The 15,808-nt window shown below is 59.4% G+C and overlaps 11 gene segments (V, D, J or C) and 1 further gene; all 12 read left to right on the top strand.

The window, feature by feature from the left end:
* Positions 1-15,808, top strand: part of IGH (immunoglobulin heavy locus) — a 1,293,408-nt gene that overhangs the window by 962,091 nt on the left and 315,509 nt on the right.
* On the top strand, positions 898-928 carry IGHD2-2 (immunoglobulin heavy diversity 2-2). The segment is given in 1 exon segment: positions 898-928. A coding segment is annotated over 1 exon segment (31 nt), but the record flags the coding sequence as incomplete, so codon positions are not given.
* On the top strand, positions 3,365-3,395 carry IGHD3-3 (immunoglobulin heavy diversity 3-3). The segment is given in 1 exon segment: positions 3,365-3,395. A coding segment is annotated over 1 exon segment (31 nt), but the record flags the coding sequence as incomplete, so codon positions are not given.
* IGHD4-4 (immunoglobulin heavy diversity 4-4) lies at positions 4,517-4,532 on the top strand. The segment is given in 1 exon segment: positions 4,517-4,532. A coding segment is annotated over 1 exon segment (16 nt), but the record flags the coding sequence as incomplete, so codon positions are not given.
* On the top strand, positions 5,478-5,497 carry IGHD5-5 (immunoglobulin heavy diversity 5-5). The segment is given in 1 exon segment: positions 5,478-5,497. A coding segment is annotated over 1 exon segment (20 nt), but the record flags the coding sequence as incomplete, so codon positions are not given.
* On the top strand, positions 7,327-7,344 carry IGHD6-6 (immunoglobulin heavy diversity 6-6). The segment is given in 1 exon segment: positions 7,327-7,344. A coding segment is annotated over 1 exon segment (18 nt), but the record flags the coding sequence as incomplete, so codon positions are not given.
* On the top strand, positions 7,831-7,847 carry IGHD1-7 (immunoglobulin heavy diversity 1-7). The segment is given in 1 exon segment: positions 7,831-7,847. A coding segment is annotated over 1 exon segment (17 nt), but the record flags the coding sequence as incomplete, so codon positions are not given.
* Positions 10,513-10,543, top strand: IGHD2-8 (immunoglobulin heavy diversity 2-8). The segment is given in 1 exon segment: positions 10,513-10,543. A coding segment is annotated over 1 exon segment (31 nt), but the record flags the coding sequence as incomplete, so codon positions are not given.
* Positions 13,043-13,073, top strand: IGHD3-9 (immunoglobulin heavy diversity 3-9). The segment is given in 1 exon segment: positions 13,043-13,073. A coding segment is annotated over 1 exon segment (31 nt), but the record flags the coding sequence as incomplete, so codon positions are not given.
* IGHD3-10 (immunoglobulin heavy diversity 3-10) lies at positions 13,227-13,257 on the top strand. The segment is given in 1 exon segment: positions 13,227-13,257. A coding segment is annotated over 1 exon segment (31 nt), but the record flags the coding sequence as incomplete, so codon positions are not given.
* IGHD4-11 (immunoglobulin heavy diversity 4-11 (non-functional)) lies at positions 14,123-14,138 on the top strand. The segment is given in 1 exon segment: positions 14,123-14,138. A coding segment is annotated over 1 exon segment (16 nt), but the record flags the coding sequence as incomplete, so codon positions are not given.
* Positions 15,083-15,105, top strand: IGHD5-12 (immunoglobulin heavy diversity 5-12). The segment is given in 1 exon segment: positions 15,083-15,105. A coding segment is annotated over 1 exon segment (23 nt), but the record flags the coding sequence as incomplete, so codon positions are not given.

Raw genomic sequence — 15,808 nt, 5'->3', positions numbered from 1 at the left:
CCCACACTGCCCATGCCCTCACCTTCCTCCTGGACACTCTGACCCTGCTCCCCTCTTGGACCCAGCCCTGGTATTTCCAGGACAAAGGCTCACCCAAGTCTTCCCCATGCAGGCCCTTGCCCTCACTGCCCGGTTACACGGCAGCCTCCTGTGCACAGAAGCAGGGAGCTCAGCCCTTCCACAGGCAGAAGGCACTGAAAGAAATCGGCCTCCAGCACCCTGATGCACGTCCGCCTGTGTCTCTCACTGCCCGCACCTGCAGGGAGGCTCGGCACTCCCTGTAAAGACGAGGGATCCAGGCAGCAACATCATGGGAGAATGCAGGGCTCCCAGACAGCCCAGCCCTCTCGCAGGCCTCTCCTGGGAAGAGACCTGCAGCCACCACTGAACAGCCACGGAGCCCGCTGGATAGTAACTGAGTCAGTGACCGACCTGGAGGGCAGGGGAGCAGTGAACCGGAGCCCAGACCATAGGGACAGAGACCAGCCGCTGACATCCCGAGCCCCTCACTGGCGGCCCCAGAACACCGCGTGGAAACAGAACAGACCCACATTCCCACCTGGAACAGGGCAGACACTGCTGAGCCCCCAGCACCAGCCCTGAGAAACACCAGGCAACGGCATCAGAGGGGGCTCCTGAGAAAGAAAGGAGGGGAGGTCTCCTTCACCAGCAAGTACTTCCCTTGACCAAAAACAGGGTCCACGCAACTCCCCCAGGACAAAGGAGGAGCCCCCTGTACAGCACTGGGCTCAGAGTCCTCTCCAACACACCCTGAGTTTCAGACAAAAACCCCCTGGAAATCATAGTATCAGCAGGAGAACTAGCCAGAGACAGCAAGAGGGGACTCAGTGACTCCCGCGGGGACAGGAGGATTTTGTGGGGGCTCGTGTCACTGTGAGGATATTGTAGTAGTACCAGCTGCTATGCCCACAGTGACACAGCCCCATTCCCAAAGCCCTGCTGTAAACGCTTCCACTTCTGGAGCTGAGGGGCTGGGGGGAGCGTCTGGGAAGTAGGGCCTAGGGGTGGCCATCAATGCCCAAAACGCACCAGACTCCCCCCCAGACATCACCCCACTGGCCAGTGAGCAGAGTAAACAGAAAATGAGAAGCAGCTGGGAAGCTTGCACAGGCCCCAAGGAAAGAGCTTTGGCGGGTGTGCAAGAGGGGATGCGGGCAGAGCCTGAGCAGGGCCTTTTGCTGTTTCTGCTTTCCTGTGCAGATAGTTCCATAAACTGGTGTTCAAGATCGATGGCTGGGAGTGAGCCCAGGAGGACAGTGTGGGAAGGGCACAGGGAAGGAGAAGCAGCCGCTATCCTACACTGTCATCTTTCAAGAGTTTGCCCTGTGCCCACAATGCTGCATCATGGGATGCTTAACAGCTGATGTAGACACAGCTAAAGAGAGAATCAGTGAAATGGATTTGCAGCACAGATCTGAATAAATTCTCCAGAATGTGGAGCCACACAGAAGCAAGCACAAGGAAAGTGCCTGATGCAAGGGCAAAGTACAGTGTGTACCTTCAGGCTGGGCACAGACACTCTGAAAAGCCTTGGCAGGAACTCCCTGCAACAAAGCAGAGCCCTGCAGGCAATGCCAGCTCCAGAGCCCTCCCTGAGAGCCTCATGGGCAAAGATGTGCAGAACATATGTTTGTCATAGCCCCAAACTGAGAATGAAGCAAACAGCCATCTGAAGGAAAACAGGCAAATAAACGATGGCAGGTTCATGAAATGCAAACCCAGACAGCCAGAAGGACAACAGTGAGGGTTACAGGTGACTCTGTGGTTGAGTTCATGACAATGCTGAGTAATTGGAGTAACAAAGGAAAGTCCAAAAAATACTTTCAATGTGATTTCTTCTAAATAAAATTTACAGCCGGCAAAATGAACTATCTTCTTAAGGGATAAACTTTCCACTAGGAAAACTATAAGGAAAATCAAGAAAAGGATGATCACATAAACACAGTGGTCGTTACTTCTACTGGGGAAGGAAGAGGGTATGAACTGAGACACACAGGGTTGGCAAGTCTCCTAACAAGAAGAGAACAAATACATTACAGTACCTTGAAAACAGCAGTTAAAATTCTAAATTGCAAGAAGAGGAAAATGCACACAGCTGTGTTTAGAAAATTCTCAGTCCAGCACTGTTCATAATAGCAAAGACATTAACCCAGGTTGGATAAATAAACGATGACACAGGCAATTGCACAATGATACAGACATACATTCAGTATATGAGACATTGATGATGTATCCCCAAAGAAATGACTTTAAAGAGAAAAGGCCTGATATGTGGTGGCACTCACCTCCCTGGGCATCCCCGGACAGGCTGCAGGCACACTGTGTGGCAGGGCAGGCTGGTACCTGCTGGCAGCTCCTGGGGCCTGATGTGGAGCAGGCACAGAGCCGTATCCCCCCGAGGACATATACCCCCAAGGACGGCACAGTTGGTACATTCCGGAGACAAGCAACTCAGCCACACTCCCAGGCCAGAGCCCGAGAGGGACGCCCATGCACAGGGAGGCAGAGCCCAGCTCCTCCACAGCCAGCAGCACCTGTGCAGGGGCCGCCATCTGGCAGGCACAGAGCATGGGCTGGGAGGAGGGGCAGGGACACCAGGCAGGGTTGGCACCAACTGAAAATTACAGAAGTCTCATACATCTACCTCAGCCTTGCCTGACCTGGGCCTCACCTGACCTGGACCTCACCTGGCCTGGACCTCACCTGGCCTAGACCTCACCTCTGGGCTTCACCTGAGCTCGGCCTCACCTGACTTGGACCTTGCCTGTCCTGAGCTCACATGATCTGGGCCTCACCTGACCTGGGTTTCACCTGACCTGGGCTTCACCTGACCTGGGCCTCATCTGACCTGGGCCTCACTGGCCTGGACCTCACCTGGCCTGGGCTTCACCTGGCCTCAGGCCTCATCTGCACCTGCTCCAGGTCTTGCTGGAACCTCAGTAGCACTGAGGCTGCAGGGGCTCATCCAGGGTTGCAGAATGACTCTAGAACCTCCCACATCTCAGCTTTCTGGGTGGAGGCACCTGGTGGCCCAGGGAATATAAAAAGCCTGAATGATGCCTGCGTGATTTGGGGGCAATTTATAAACCCAAAAGGACATGGCCATGCAGCGGGTAGGGACAATACAGACAGATATCAGCCTGAAATGGAGCCTCAGGGCACAGGTGGGCACGGACACTGTCCACCTAAGCCAGGGGCAGACCCGAGTGTCCCCGCAGTAGACCTGAGAGCGCTGGGCCCACAGCCTCCCCTCGGTGCCCTGCTACCTCCTCAGGTCAGCCCTGGACATCCCGGGTTTCCCCAGGCCTGGCGGTAGGTTTGGGGTGAGGTCTGTGTCACTGTGGTATTACGATTTTTGGAGTGGTTATTATACCCACAGTGTCACAGAGTCCATCAAAAACCCATCCCTGGGAACCTTCTGCCACAGCCCTCCCTGTGGGGCACCGCTGCGTGCCATGTTAGGATTTTGACTGAGGACACAGCACCATGGGTATGGTGGCTACCGCAGCAGTGCAGCCTGTGACCCAAACACACAGGGCAGCAGGCACAACAGACAAGCCCACAAGTGACCACCCTGAGCTCCTGCCTGCCAGCCCTGGAGACCATGAAACAGATGGCCAGGATTATCCCATAGGTCAGCCAGACCTCAGTCCAACAGGTCTGCATCGCTGCTGCCCTCCAATACCAGTCCGGATGGGGACAGGGCCGGCCCACATTACCATTTGCTGCCATCCGGCCAACAGTCCCAGAAGCCCCTCCCTCAAGGCTGGGCCACATGTGTGGACCCTGAGAGCCCCCCATGTCTGAGTAGGGGCACCAGGAAGGTGGGGCTGGCCCTGTGCACTGTCACTGCCCCTGTGGTCCCTGGCCTGCCTGGCCCTGACACCTGGGCCTCTCCTGGGTCATTTCCAAGACAGAAGACATTCCCAGGACAGCTGGAGCTGGGAGTCCATCATCCTGCCTGGCCATCCTGAGTCCTGCGCCTTTCCAAACCTCACCCGGGAAGCCAACAGAGGAATCACCTCCCACAGGCAGAGACAAAGACCTTCCAGAAATCTCTGTCTCTCTCCCCAGTGGGCACCCTCTTCCAGGGCAGTCCTCAGTGATATCACAGTGGGAACCCACATCTGGATCGGGACTGCCCCCAGAACACAAGATGGCCCACAGGGACAGCCCCACAGCCCAGCCCTTCCCAGACCCCTAAAAGGCGTCCCACCCCCTGCATCTGCCCCAGGGCTCAAACTCCAGGAGGACTGACTCCTGCACACCCTCCTGCCAGACATCACCTCAGCCCCTCCTGGAAGGGACAGGAGCGCGCAAGGGTGAGTCAGACCCTCCTGCCCTCGATGGCAGGCGGAGAAGATTCAGAAAGGTCTGAGATCCCCAGGACGCAGCACCACTGTCAATGGGGGCCCCAGACGCCTGGACCAGGGCCTGCGTGGGAAAGGCCTCTGGGCACACTCAGGGGCTTTTTGTGAAGGGTCCTCCTACTGTGTGACTACAGTAACTACCACAGTGATGAACCCAGCAGCAAAAACTGACCGGACTCCCAAGGTTTATGCACACTTCTCCGCTCAGAGCTCTCCAGGATCAGAAGAGCCGGGCCCAAGGGTTTCTGCCCAGACCCTCGGCCTCTAGGGACATCTTGGCCATGACAGCCCATGGGCTGGTGCCCCACACATCGTCTGCCTTCAAACAAGGGCTTCAGAGGGCTCTGAGGTGACCTCACTGATGACCACAGGTGCCCTGGCCCCTTCCCCGCCAGCTGCACCAGACCCCGTCCTGACAGATGCCCCGATTCCAACAGCCAATTCCTGGGGCCAGGAATCGCTGTAGACACCAGCCTCCTTCCAACACCTCTTGCCAATTGCCTGGATTCCCATCCCGGTTGGAATCAAGAGGACAGCATCCCCCAGGCTCCCAACAGGCAGGACTCCCACACCCTCCTCTGAGAGGCCGCTGTGTTCCGTAGGGCCAGGCTGCAGACAGTCCCCCTCACCTGCCACTAGACAAATGCCTGCTGTAGATGTCCCCACCTGGAAAAGACCACTCATGGAGCCCCCAGCCCCAGGTACAGCCATAGAGAGAGTCTCTGAGGCCCCTAAGAAGTAGCCATGCCCAGTTCTGCCGGGACCCTCGGCCAGGCTGACAGGAGTGGACGCTGGAGCTGGGCCCACACTGGGCCACATAGGAGCTCACCAGTGAGGGCAGGAGAGCACATGCCGGGGAGCACCCAGCCTCCTGCTGACCAGAGGCCCGTCCCAGAGCCCAGGAGGCTGCAGAGGCCTCTCCAGGGGGACACTGTGCATGTCTGGTCCCTGAGCAGCCCCCCATGTCCCCAGTCCTGGGGGCCCCTGGCACAGCTGTCTGGACCCTCTCTATTCCCTGGGAAGCTCCTCCTGACAGCCCCGCCTCCAGTTCCAGGTGTGGTTATTGTCAGGGGGTGTCAGACTGTGGTGGATACAGCTATGGTTACCACAGTGGTGCTGCCCATAGCAGCAACCAGGCCAAGTAGACAGGCCCCTGCTGTGCAGCCCCAGGCCTCCAGCTCACCTGCTTCTCCTGGGGCTCTCAAGGCTGCTGTTTTCTGCACTCTCCCCTCTGTGGGGAGGGTTCCCTCAGTGGGAGATCTGTTCTCAACATCCCAGGGCCTCATTCCTGCAAGGAAGGCCAATGGATGGGCAACCTCACATGCCGCGGCTAAGATAGGGTGGGCAGCCTGGCGGGGACAGGACATCCTGCTGGGGTATCTGTCACTGTGCCTAGTGGGGCACTGGCTCCCAAACAACGCAGTCCTCGCCAAAATCCCCACGGCCTCCCCCGCTAGGGGCTGGCCTGATCTCCTGCAGTCCTAGGAGGCTGCTGACCTCCAGAATGGCTCCGTCCCCAGTTCCAGGGCGAGAGCAGATCCCAGGCCGGCTGCAGACTGGGAGGCCACCCCCTCCTTCCCAGGGTTCACTGCAGGTGACCAGGGCAGGAAATGGCCTGAACACAGGGATAACCGGGCCATCCCCCAACAGAGTCCACCCCCTCCTGCTCTGTACCCCGCACCCCCAAGGCCAGCCCATGACATCCGACAACCCCACACCAGAGTCACTGCCCGGTGCTGCCCTAGGGAGGACCCCTCAGCCCCCACCCTGTCTAGAGGACTGGGGAGGACAGGACACGCCCTCTCCTTATGGTTCCCCCACCTGGCTCTGGCTGGGACCCTTGGGGTGTGGACAGAAAGGACGCTTGCCTGATTGGCCCCCAGGAGCCCAGAACTTCTCTCCAGGGACCCCAGCCCGAGCACCCCCTTACCCAGGACCCAGCCCTGCCCCTCCTCCCATCTGCTCTCCTCTCATCACCCCATGGGAATCCAGAATCCCCAGGAAGCCATCAGGAAGGGCTGAGGGAGGAAGTGGGGCCACTGCACCACCAGGCAGGAGGCTCCGTCTTTGTGAACCCAGGGAGGTGCCAGCCTCCTAGAGGGTATGGTCCACCCTGCCTATGGCTCCCACAGTGGCAGGCTGCAGGGAAGGACCAGGGACGGTGTGGGGGAGGGCTCAGGGCCCCGCGGGTGCTCCATCTTGGATGAGCCCATCTCTCTCACCCACGGACTCACCCACCTCCTCTCCACCCTGGCCACACGTCGTCCACACCATCCTAAGTCCCACCTACACCAGAGCCGGCACAGCCAGTGCAGACAGAGGCTGGGGTGCAGGGGGGCCGCCAGGGCAGCTTTGGGGAGGGAAGGATGGAGGAAGGGGAGTTCAGTGAAGAGGCCCCCCTCCCCTGGGTCCAGGATCCTCCTCTGGGACCCCCGGATCCCATCCCCTCCAGGCTCTGGGAGGAGAAGCAGGATGGGAGAATCTGTGCGGGACCCTCTCACAGTGGAATACCTCCACAGCGGCTCAGGCAAGACCCAAAAGCCCCTCAGTGAGCCCTCCACTGCAGTCCTGGGCCTGGGTAGCAGCCCCTCCCACAGAGGATGAACCCAGCACCCCGAGGATGTCCTGCCAGGGGGAGCTCAGAGCCATGAAGGAGCAGGATATGGGACCCCCGATACAGGCACAGACCTCAGCTCCATTCAGGACTGCCACGTCCTGCCCTGGGAGGAACCCCTTTCTCTAGTCCCTGCAGGCCAGGAGGCAGCTGACTCCTGACTTGGACGCCTATTCCAGACACCAGACAGAGGGGCAGGCCCCCCAGAACCAGGGATGAGGACGCCCCGTCAAGGCCAGAAAAGACCAAGTTGTGCTGAGCCCAGCAAGGGAAGGTCCCCAAACAAACCAGGAAGTTTCTGAAGGTGTCTGTGTCACAGTGGAGTATAGCAGCTCGTCCCACAGTGACACTCGCCAGGCCAGAAACCCCATCCCAAGTCAGCGGAATGCAGAGAGAGCAGGGAGGACATGTTTAGGATCTGAGGCCGCACCTGACACCCAGGCCAGCAGACGTCTCCTGTCCATGGCACCCTGCCATGTCCTGCATTTCTGGAAGAACAAGGGCAGGCTGAAGGGGGTCCAGGACCAGGAGATGGGTCCCCTCTACCCAGAGAAGGAGCCAGGCAGGACACAAGCCCCCTCCCCATTGAGGCTGACCTGCCCAGAGGGTCCTGGGCCCACCCCACACACCGGGGCGGAATGTGTGCAGGCCTCGGTCTCTGTGGGTGTTCCGCTAGCTGGGGCTCACAGTGCTCACCCCACACCTAAAACGAGCCACAGCCTCAGAGCCCCTGAAGGAGACCCCGCCCACAAGCCCAGCCCCCACCCAGGAGGCCCCAGAGCACAGGGCGCCCCGTCGGATTCTGAACAGCCCCGAGTCACAGTGGGTATAACTGGAACTACCACTGTGAGAAAAGCTTCGTCCAAAACGGTCTCCTGGCCACAGTCGGAGGCCCCGCCAGAGAGGGGAGCAGCCACCCCAAACCCATGTTCTGCCGGCTCCCATGACCCCGTGCACCTGGAGCCCCACAGTGTCCCCACTGGATGGGAGGACAAGGGCCGGGGGCTCCGGCGGGTCGGGGCAGGGGCTTGATGGCTTCCTTCTGCCGTGGCTCCAGTGCCCCTGGCTGGAGTTGACCCTTCTGACAAGTGTCCTCAGAGAGTCAGGGATCAGTGGCACCTCCCAACATCAACCCCACGCAGCCCAGGCACAAACCCCACATCCAGGGCCAACTCCAGGAACAGAGACACCCCAATACCCTGGGGGACCCCAACCCTGATGACTCCCGTCCCATCTCTGTCCCTCACTTGGGGCCTGCTGCGGGGCGAGCACTTGGGAGCAAACTCAGGCTTAGGGGACACCACTGTGGGCCTGACCTCGAGCAGGCCACAGACCCTTCCCTCCTGCCCTGGTGCAGCACAGACTTTGGGGTCTGGGCAGGGAGGAACTTCTGGCAGGTCACCAAGCACAGAGCCCCCAGGCTGAGGTGGCCCCAGGGGGAACCCCAGCAGGTGGCCCACTACCCTTCCTCCCAGCTGGACCCCATGTCTTCCCCAAGATAGGGGTGCCATCCAAGGCAGGTCCTCCATGGAGCCCCCTTCAGGCTCCTCTCCAGACCCCACTGGGCCTCAGTCCCCACTCTAGGAATGCAGCCACCACGGGCACACCAGGCAGCCCAGGCCCAGCCACCCTGCAGTGCCCAAGCCCACACCCTGGAGGAGAGCAGGGTGCGTCTGGGAGGGGCTGGGCTCCCCACCCCCACCCCCACCTGCACACCCCACCCACCCTTGCCCGGGCCCCCTGCAGGAGGGTCAGAGCCCCCATGGGATATGGACTTAGGGTCTCACTCACGCACCTCCCCTCCTGGGAGAAGGGGTCTCATGCCCAGATCCCCCCAGCAGCGCTGGTCACAGGTAGAGGCAGTGGCCCCAGGGCCACCCTGACCTGGCCCCTCAGGCTCCTCTAGCCCTGGCTGCCCTGCTGTCCCTGGGAGGCCTGGGCTCCACCAGACCACAGGTCTAGGGCACCGCCCACACTGGGGCCGCCCACACACAGCTCACAGGAAGAAGATAAGCTCCAGACCCCCAGGCCCGGGACCTGCCTTGCTGCTACGACTTCCTGCCCCAGACCTCGTTGCCCTCCCCCGTCCACTTACACACAGGCCAGGAAGCTGTTCCCACACAGACCAACCCCAGACGGGGACCACCTGGCACTCAGGTCACTGCCATTTCCTTCTCCATTCACTTCCAATGCCTCTGTGCTTCCTCCCTCCTCCTTCCTTCGGGGGAGCACCCTGTGCAGCTCCTCCCTGCAGTCCACACCCTGGGGAGACCCGACCCTGCAGCCCACACCCTGGGGAGACCTGACCCTCCTCCAGCCCTTTCTCCCCCGCTGCTCTTGCCACCCACCAAGACAGCCCTGGGGTCCTGTCCCTACAGCCCCCACCCAGTTCTCTACCTAGACCCGTCTTCCTCCCTCTAAACACCTCTCCCAGGCCAACCCTACACCTGCAGGCCCTCCCCTCCACTGCCAAAGACCCTCAGTTTCTCCTGCCTGTGCCCACCCCCGTGCTCCTCCTGCCCACAGCTCGAGCTCTTCCTCTCCTAGGGCCCCTGAGGGATGGCATTGACCGTGCCCTCGCACCCACACACTGCCCATGCCCTCACATTCCTCCTGGCCACTCCAGCCCCACTCCCCTCTCAGGCCTGGCTCTGGTATTTCTGGGACAAAGCCTTACCCAAGTCTTTCCCATGCAGGCCTGGGCCCTTACCCTCACTGCCCGGTTACAGGGCAGCCTCCTGTGCACAGAAGCAGGGAGCTCAGCCCTTCCACAGGCAGAAGGCACTGAAAGAAATCGGCCTCCAGCGCCTTGACACACGTCTGCCTGTGTCTCTCACTGCCCGCACCTGCAGGGAGGCTCGGCACTCCCTCTAAAGACGAGGGATCCAGGCAGCAGCATCACAGGAGAATGCAGGGCTACCAGACATCCCAGTCCTCTCACAGGCCTCTCCTGGGAAGAGACCTGAAGACGCCCAGTCAACGGAGTCTAACACCAAACCTCCCTGGAGGCCGATGGGTAGTAACGGAGTCATTGCCAGACCTGGAGGCAGGGGAGCAGTGAGCCCGAGCCCACACCATAGGGCCAGAGGACAGCCACTGACATCCCAAGCCACTCACTGGTGGTCCCACAACACCCCATGGAAAGAGGACAGACCCACAGTCCCACCTGGACCAGGGCAGAGACTGCTGAGACCCAGCACCAGAACCAACCAAGAAACACCAGGCAACAGCATCAGAGGGGGCTCTGGCAGAACAGAGGAGGGGAGGTCTCCTTCACCAGCAGGCGCTTCCCTTGACCGAAGACAGGATCCATGCAACTCCCCCAGGACAAAGGAGGAGCCCCTTGTTCAGCACTGGGCTCAGAGTCCTCTCCAAGACACCCAGAGTTTCAGACAAAAACCCCCTGGAATGCACAGTCTCAGCAGGAGAGCCAGCCAGAGCCAGCAAGATGGGGCTCAGTGACACCCGCAGGGACAGGAGGATTTTGTGGGGGCTCGTGTCACTGTGAGGATATTGTACTAATGGTGTATGCTATACCCACAGTGACACAGCCCCATTCCCAAAGCCCTACTGCAAACGCATTCCACTTCTGGGGCTGAGGGGCTGGGGGAGCGTCTGGGAAATAGGGCTCAGGGGTGTCCATCAATGCCCAAAACGCACCAGACTCCCCTCCATACATCACACCCACCAGCCAGCGAGCAGAGTAAACAGAAAATGAGAAGCAAGCTGGGGAAGCTTGCACAGGCCCCAAGGAAAGAGCTTTGGCGGGTGTGTAAGAGGGGATGCGGGCAGAGCCTGAGCAGGGCCTTTTGCTGTTTCTGCTTTCCTGTGCAGAGAGTTCCATAAACTGGTGTTCGAGATCAATGGCTGGGAGTGAGCCCAGGAGGACAGCGTGGGAAGAGCACAGGGAAGGAGGAGCAGCCGCTATCCTACACTGTCATCTTTCGAAAGTTTGCCTTGTGCCCACACTGCTGCATCATGGGATGCTTAACAGCTGATGTAGACACAGCTAAAGAGAGAATCAGTGAGATGGATTTGCAGCACAGATCTGAATAAATTCTCCAGAATGTGGAGCAGCACAGAAGCAAGCACACAGAAAGTGCCTGATGCAAGGACAAAGTTCAGTGGGCACCTTCAGGCATTGCTGCTGGGCACAGACACTCTGAAAAGCCCTGGCAGGAACTCCCTGTGACAAAGCAGAACCCTCAGGCAATGCCAGCCCCAGAGCCCTCCCTGAGAGCCTCATGGGCAAAGATGTGCACAACAGGTGTTTCTCATAGCCCCAAACTGAGAGCAAAGCAAACGTCCATCTGAAGGAGAACAGGCAAATAAACGATGGCAGGTTCATGAAATGCAAACCCAGACAGCCACAAGCACAAAAGTACAGGGTTATAAGCGACTCTGGTTGAGTTCATGACAATGCTGAGTAATTGGAGTAACAAAGTAAACTCCAAAAAATACTTTCAATGTGATTTCTTCTAAATAAAATTTACACCCTGCAAAATGAACTGTCTTCTTAAGGGATACATTTCCCAGTTAGAAAACCATAAAGAAAACCAAGAAAAGGATGATCACATAAACACAGTGGTGGTTACTTCTGCTGGGGAAGGAAGAGGGTATGAACTGAGATACACAGGGTGGGCAAGTCTCCTAACAAGAACAGAACGAATACATTACAGTACCTTGAAAACAGCAGTTAAACTTCTAAATTGCAAGAAGAGGAAAATGGACACAGTTGTGTTTAGAAAATTCTCAGTCCAGCACTGTTCATAATAGCAAAGACATTAACCCAGGTCGGATAAATAAGCGATGACACAGGCAATTGCACAATGATACAGACATATATTTAGTATATGAGACATCGATGATGTATCCCCAAATAAACGACTTTAAAGAGATAAAGGGCTGATGTGTGGTGGCATTCACCTCCCTGGGATCCCCGGACAGGTTGCAGGCTCACTGTGCAGCAGGGCAGGCGGGTACCTGCTGGCAGTTCCTGGGGCCTGATGTGGAGCAAGCGCAGGGCCATATATCCCGGAGGACGGCACAGTCAGTGAATTCCAGAGAGAAGCAACTCAGCCACACTCCCCAGGCAGAGCCCGAGAGGGACGCCCACGCACAGGGAGGCAGAGCCCAGCACCTCCGCAGCCAGCACCACCTGTGCACGGGCCACCACCTTGCAGGCACAGAGTGGGTGCTGAGAGGAGGGGCAGGGACACCAGGCAGGGTGAGCACCCAGAGAAAACTGCAGACGCCTCACACATCCACCTCAGCCTCCCCTGACCTGGACCTCACTGGCCTGGGCCTCACTTAACCTGGGCTTCACCTGACCTTGGCCTCACCTGACTTGGACCTCGCCTGTCCCAAGCTTTACCTGACCTGGGCCTCAACTCACCTGAACGTCTCCTGACCTGGGTTTAACCTGTCCTGGAACTCACCTGGCCTTGGCTTCCCCTGACCTGGACCTCATCTGGCCTGGGCTTCACCTGGCCTGGGCCTCACCTGACCTGGACCTCATCTGGCCTGGACCTCACCTGGCCTGGACTTCACCTGGCCTGGGCTTCACCTGACCTGGACCTCACCTGGCCTCGGGCCTCACCTGCACCTGCTCCAGGTCTTGCTGGAGCCTGAGTAGCACTGAGGGTGCAGAAGCTCATCCAGGGTTGGGGAATGACTCTAGAAGTCTCCCACATCTGACCTTTCTGGGTGGAGGCAGCTGGTGGCCCTGGGAATATAAAAATCTCCAGAATGATGACTCTGTGATTTGTGGGCAACTTATGAACCCGAAAGGACATGGCCATGGGGTGGGTAGGGACATAGGGACAGATGCCAGCCTGAGGTGGAGCCTCAGGACACAGGTGGGCACGGACACTATCCACATAAGCGAGGGATAGACCCGAGTGTCCCCACAGCAGACCTGAGAGCGCTGGGCCCACAGCCTCCCCTCAGAGCCCTGCTGCCTCCTCCGGTCAGCCCTGGACATCCCAGGTTTCCCCAGGCCTGCCGGTAGGTTTAGAATGAGGTCTGTGTCACTGTGGTATTACGATATTTTGACTGGTTATTATAACCACAGTGTCACAGAGTCCATCAAAAACCCATGCCTGGAAGCTTCCCGCCACAGCCCTCCCCATGGGGCCCTGCTGCCTCCTCAGGTCAGCCCCGGACATCCCGGGTTTCCCCAGGCTGGGCGGTAGGTTTGGGGTGAGGTCTGTGTCACTGTGGTATTACTATGGTTCGGGGAGTTATTATAACCACAGTGTCACAGAGTCCATCAAAAACCCATCCCTGGGAGCCTCCCGCCACAGCCCTCCCTGCAGGGGACCGGTACGTGCCATGTTAGGATTTTGATCGAGGAGACAGCACCATGGGTATGGTGGCTACCACAGCAGTGCAGCCTGTGACCCAAACCCGCAGGGCAGCAGGCACGATGGACAGGCCCGTGACTGACCACGCTGGGCTCCAGCCTGCCAGCCCTGGAGATCATGAAACAGATGGCCAAGGTCACCCTACAGGTCATCCAGATCTGGCTCCGAGGGGTCTGCATCGCTGCTGCCCTCCCAACGCCAGTCCAAATGGGACAGGGACGGCCTCACAGCACCATCTGCTGCCATCAGGCCAGCGATCCCAGAAGCCCCTCCCTCAAGGCTGGGCCACATGTGTGGACACTGAGAGCCCTCATGTCTGAGTAGGGGCACCAGGAGGGAGGGGCTGGCCCTGTGCACTGTCCCTGCCCCTGTGGTCCCTGGCCTGCCTGGCCCTGACACCTGAGCCTCTCCTGGGTCATTTCCAAGACAGAAGACATTCCTGGGGACAGCCGGAGCTGGGCGTCGCTCATCCTGCCCGGCCGTCCTGAGTCCTGCTCATTTCCAGACCTCACCGGGGAAGCCAACAGAGGACTCGCCTCCCACATTCAGAGACAAAGAACCTTCCAGAAATCCCTGCCTCTCTCCCCAGTGGACACCCTCTTCCAGGACAGTCCTCAGTGGCATCACAGCGGCCTGAGATCCCCAGGACGCAGCACCGCTGTCAATAGGGGCCCCAAATGCCTGGACCAGGGCCTGCGTGGGAAAGGTCTCTGGCCACACTCGGGCTTTTTGTGAAGGGCCCTCCTGCTGTGTGACTACAGTAACTACCATAGTGATGAACCCAGTGGCAAAAACTGGCTGGAAACCCAGGGGCTGTGTGCACGCCTCAGCTTGGAGCTCTCCAGGAGCACAAGAGCCGGGCCCAAGGATTTGTGCCCAGACCCTCAGCCTCTAGGGACACCTGGGCCATCTCAGCCTGGGCTGGTGCCCTGCACACCATCTTCCTCCAAATAGGGGCTTCAGAGGGCTCTGAGGTGACCTCACTCATGACCACAGGTGACCTGGCCCTTCCCTGCCAGCTATACCAGACCCTGTCTTGACAGATGCCCCGATTCCAACAGCCAATTCCTGGGACCCTGAATAGCTGTAGACACCAGCCTCATTCCAGTACCTCCTGCCAATTGCCTGGATTCCCATCCTGGCTGGAATCAAGAAGGCAGCATCCGCCAGGCTCCCAACAGGCAGGACTCCCGCACACCCTCCTCTGAGAGGCCGCTGTGTTCCGCAGGGCCAGGCCCTGGACAGTTCCCCTCACCTGCCACTAGAGAAACACCTGCCATTGTCGTCCCCACCTGGAAAAGACCACTCGTGGAGCCCCCAGCCCCAGGTACAGCTGTAGAGAGAGTCCTCGAGGCCCCTAAGAAGGAGCCATGCCCAGTTCTGCCGGGACCCTCGGCCAGGCCGACAGGAGTGGACGCTGGAGCTGGGCCCACACTGGGCCACATAGGAGCTCACCAGTGAGGGCAGGAGAGCACATGCCGGGGAGCACCCAGCCTCCTGCTGACCAGAGGCCTGCCCCAGAGCCCAGGAGGCTGCAGAGGCCTCTCCAGGGAGACACTGTGCATGTCTGGTACCTAAGCAGCCCCCCACGTCCCCAGTCCTGGGGGCCCCTGGCTCAGCTGTCTGGACCCTCCCTGTTCCCTGGGAAGCTCCTCCTGACAGCCCCGCCTCCAGTTCCAGGTGTGGTTATTGTCAGGCGATGTCAGACTGTGGTGGATATAGTGGCTACGATTACCACAGTGGTGCCGCCCATAGCAGCAACCAGGCCAAGTAGACAGGCCCCTGCTGCGCAGCCCCAGGCATCCACTTCACCTGCTTCTCCTGGGGCTCTCAAGGCTGCTGTCTGTCCTCTGGCCCTCTGTGGGGAGGGTTCCCTCAGTGGGAGGTCTGTGCTCCAGGGCAGGGATGATTGAGATAGAAATCAAAGGCTGGCAGGGAAAGGCAGCTTCCCGCCCTGAGAGGTGCAGGCAGCACCACGGAGCCACGGAGTCACAGAGCCACGGAGCCCCCATTGTGGGCATTTGAGAGTGCTGTGCCCCCGGCAGGCCCAGCCCTGATGGGGAAGCCTGTCCCATCCCACAGCCCGGGTCCCACGGGCAGCGGGCACAGAAGCTGCCAGGTTGTCCTCTATGATCCTCATCCCTCCAGCAGCATCCCCTCCACAGTGGGGAAACTGAGGCTTGGAGCACCACCCGGCCCCCTGGAAATGAGGCTGTGAGCCCAGACAGTGGGCCCAGAGCACTGTGAGTACCCCGGCAGTACCTGGCTGCAGGGATCAGCCAGAGATGCCAAACCCTGAGTGACCAGCCTACAGGAGGATCCGGCCCCACCCAGGCCACTCGATTAATGCTCAACCCCCTGCCCTGGAGACCTCTTCCAGTACCACCAGCAGCTCAGCTTCTCAGGGCCTCATCCCTGCAAGGAAGGTCAAGGGCTGG

This window comes from Homo sapiens, chromosome 14 (genome assembly GCF_000001405.40).
Source record: "Homo sapiens chromosome 14, GRCh38.p14 Primary Assembly".
NCBI classification, from domain to species: domain Eukaryota; kingdom Metazoa; phylum Chordata; class Mammalia; order Primates; family Hominidae; genus Homo; species Homo sapiens.
The sequence above is the reverse complement of the archived record's forward strand: the minus strand, read 5'-3'. Positions and strand labels throughout refer to the sequence as shown.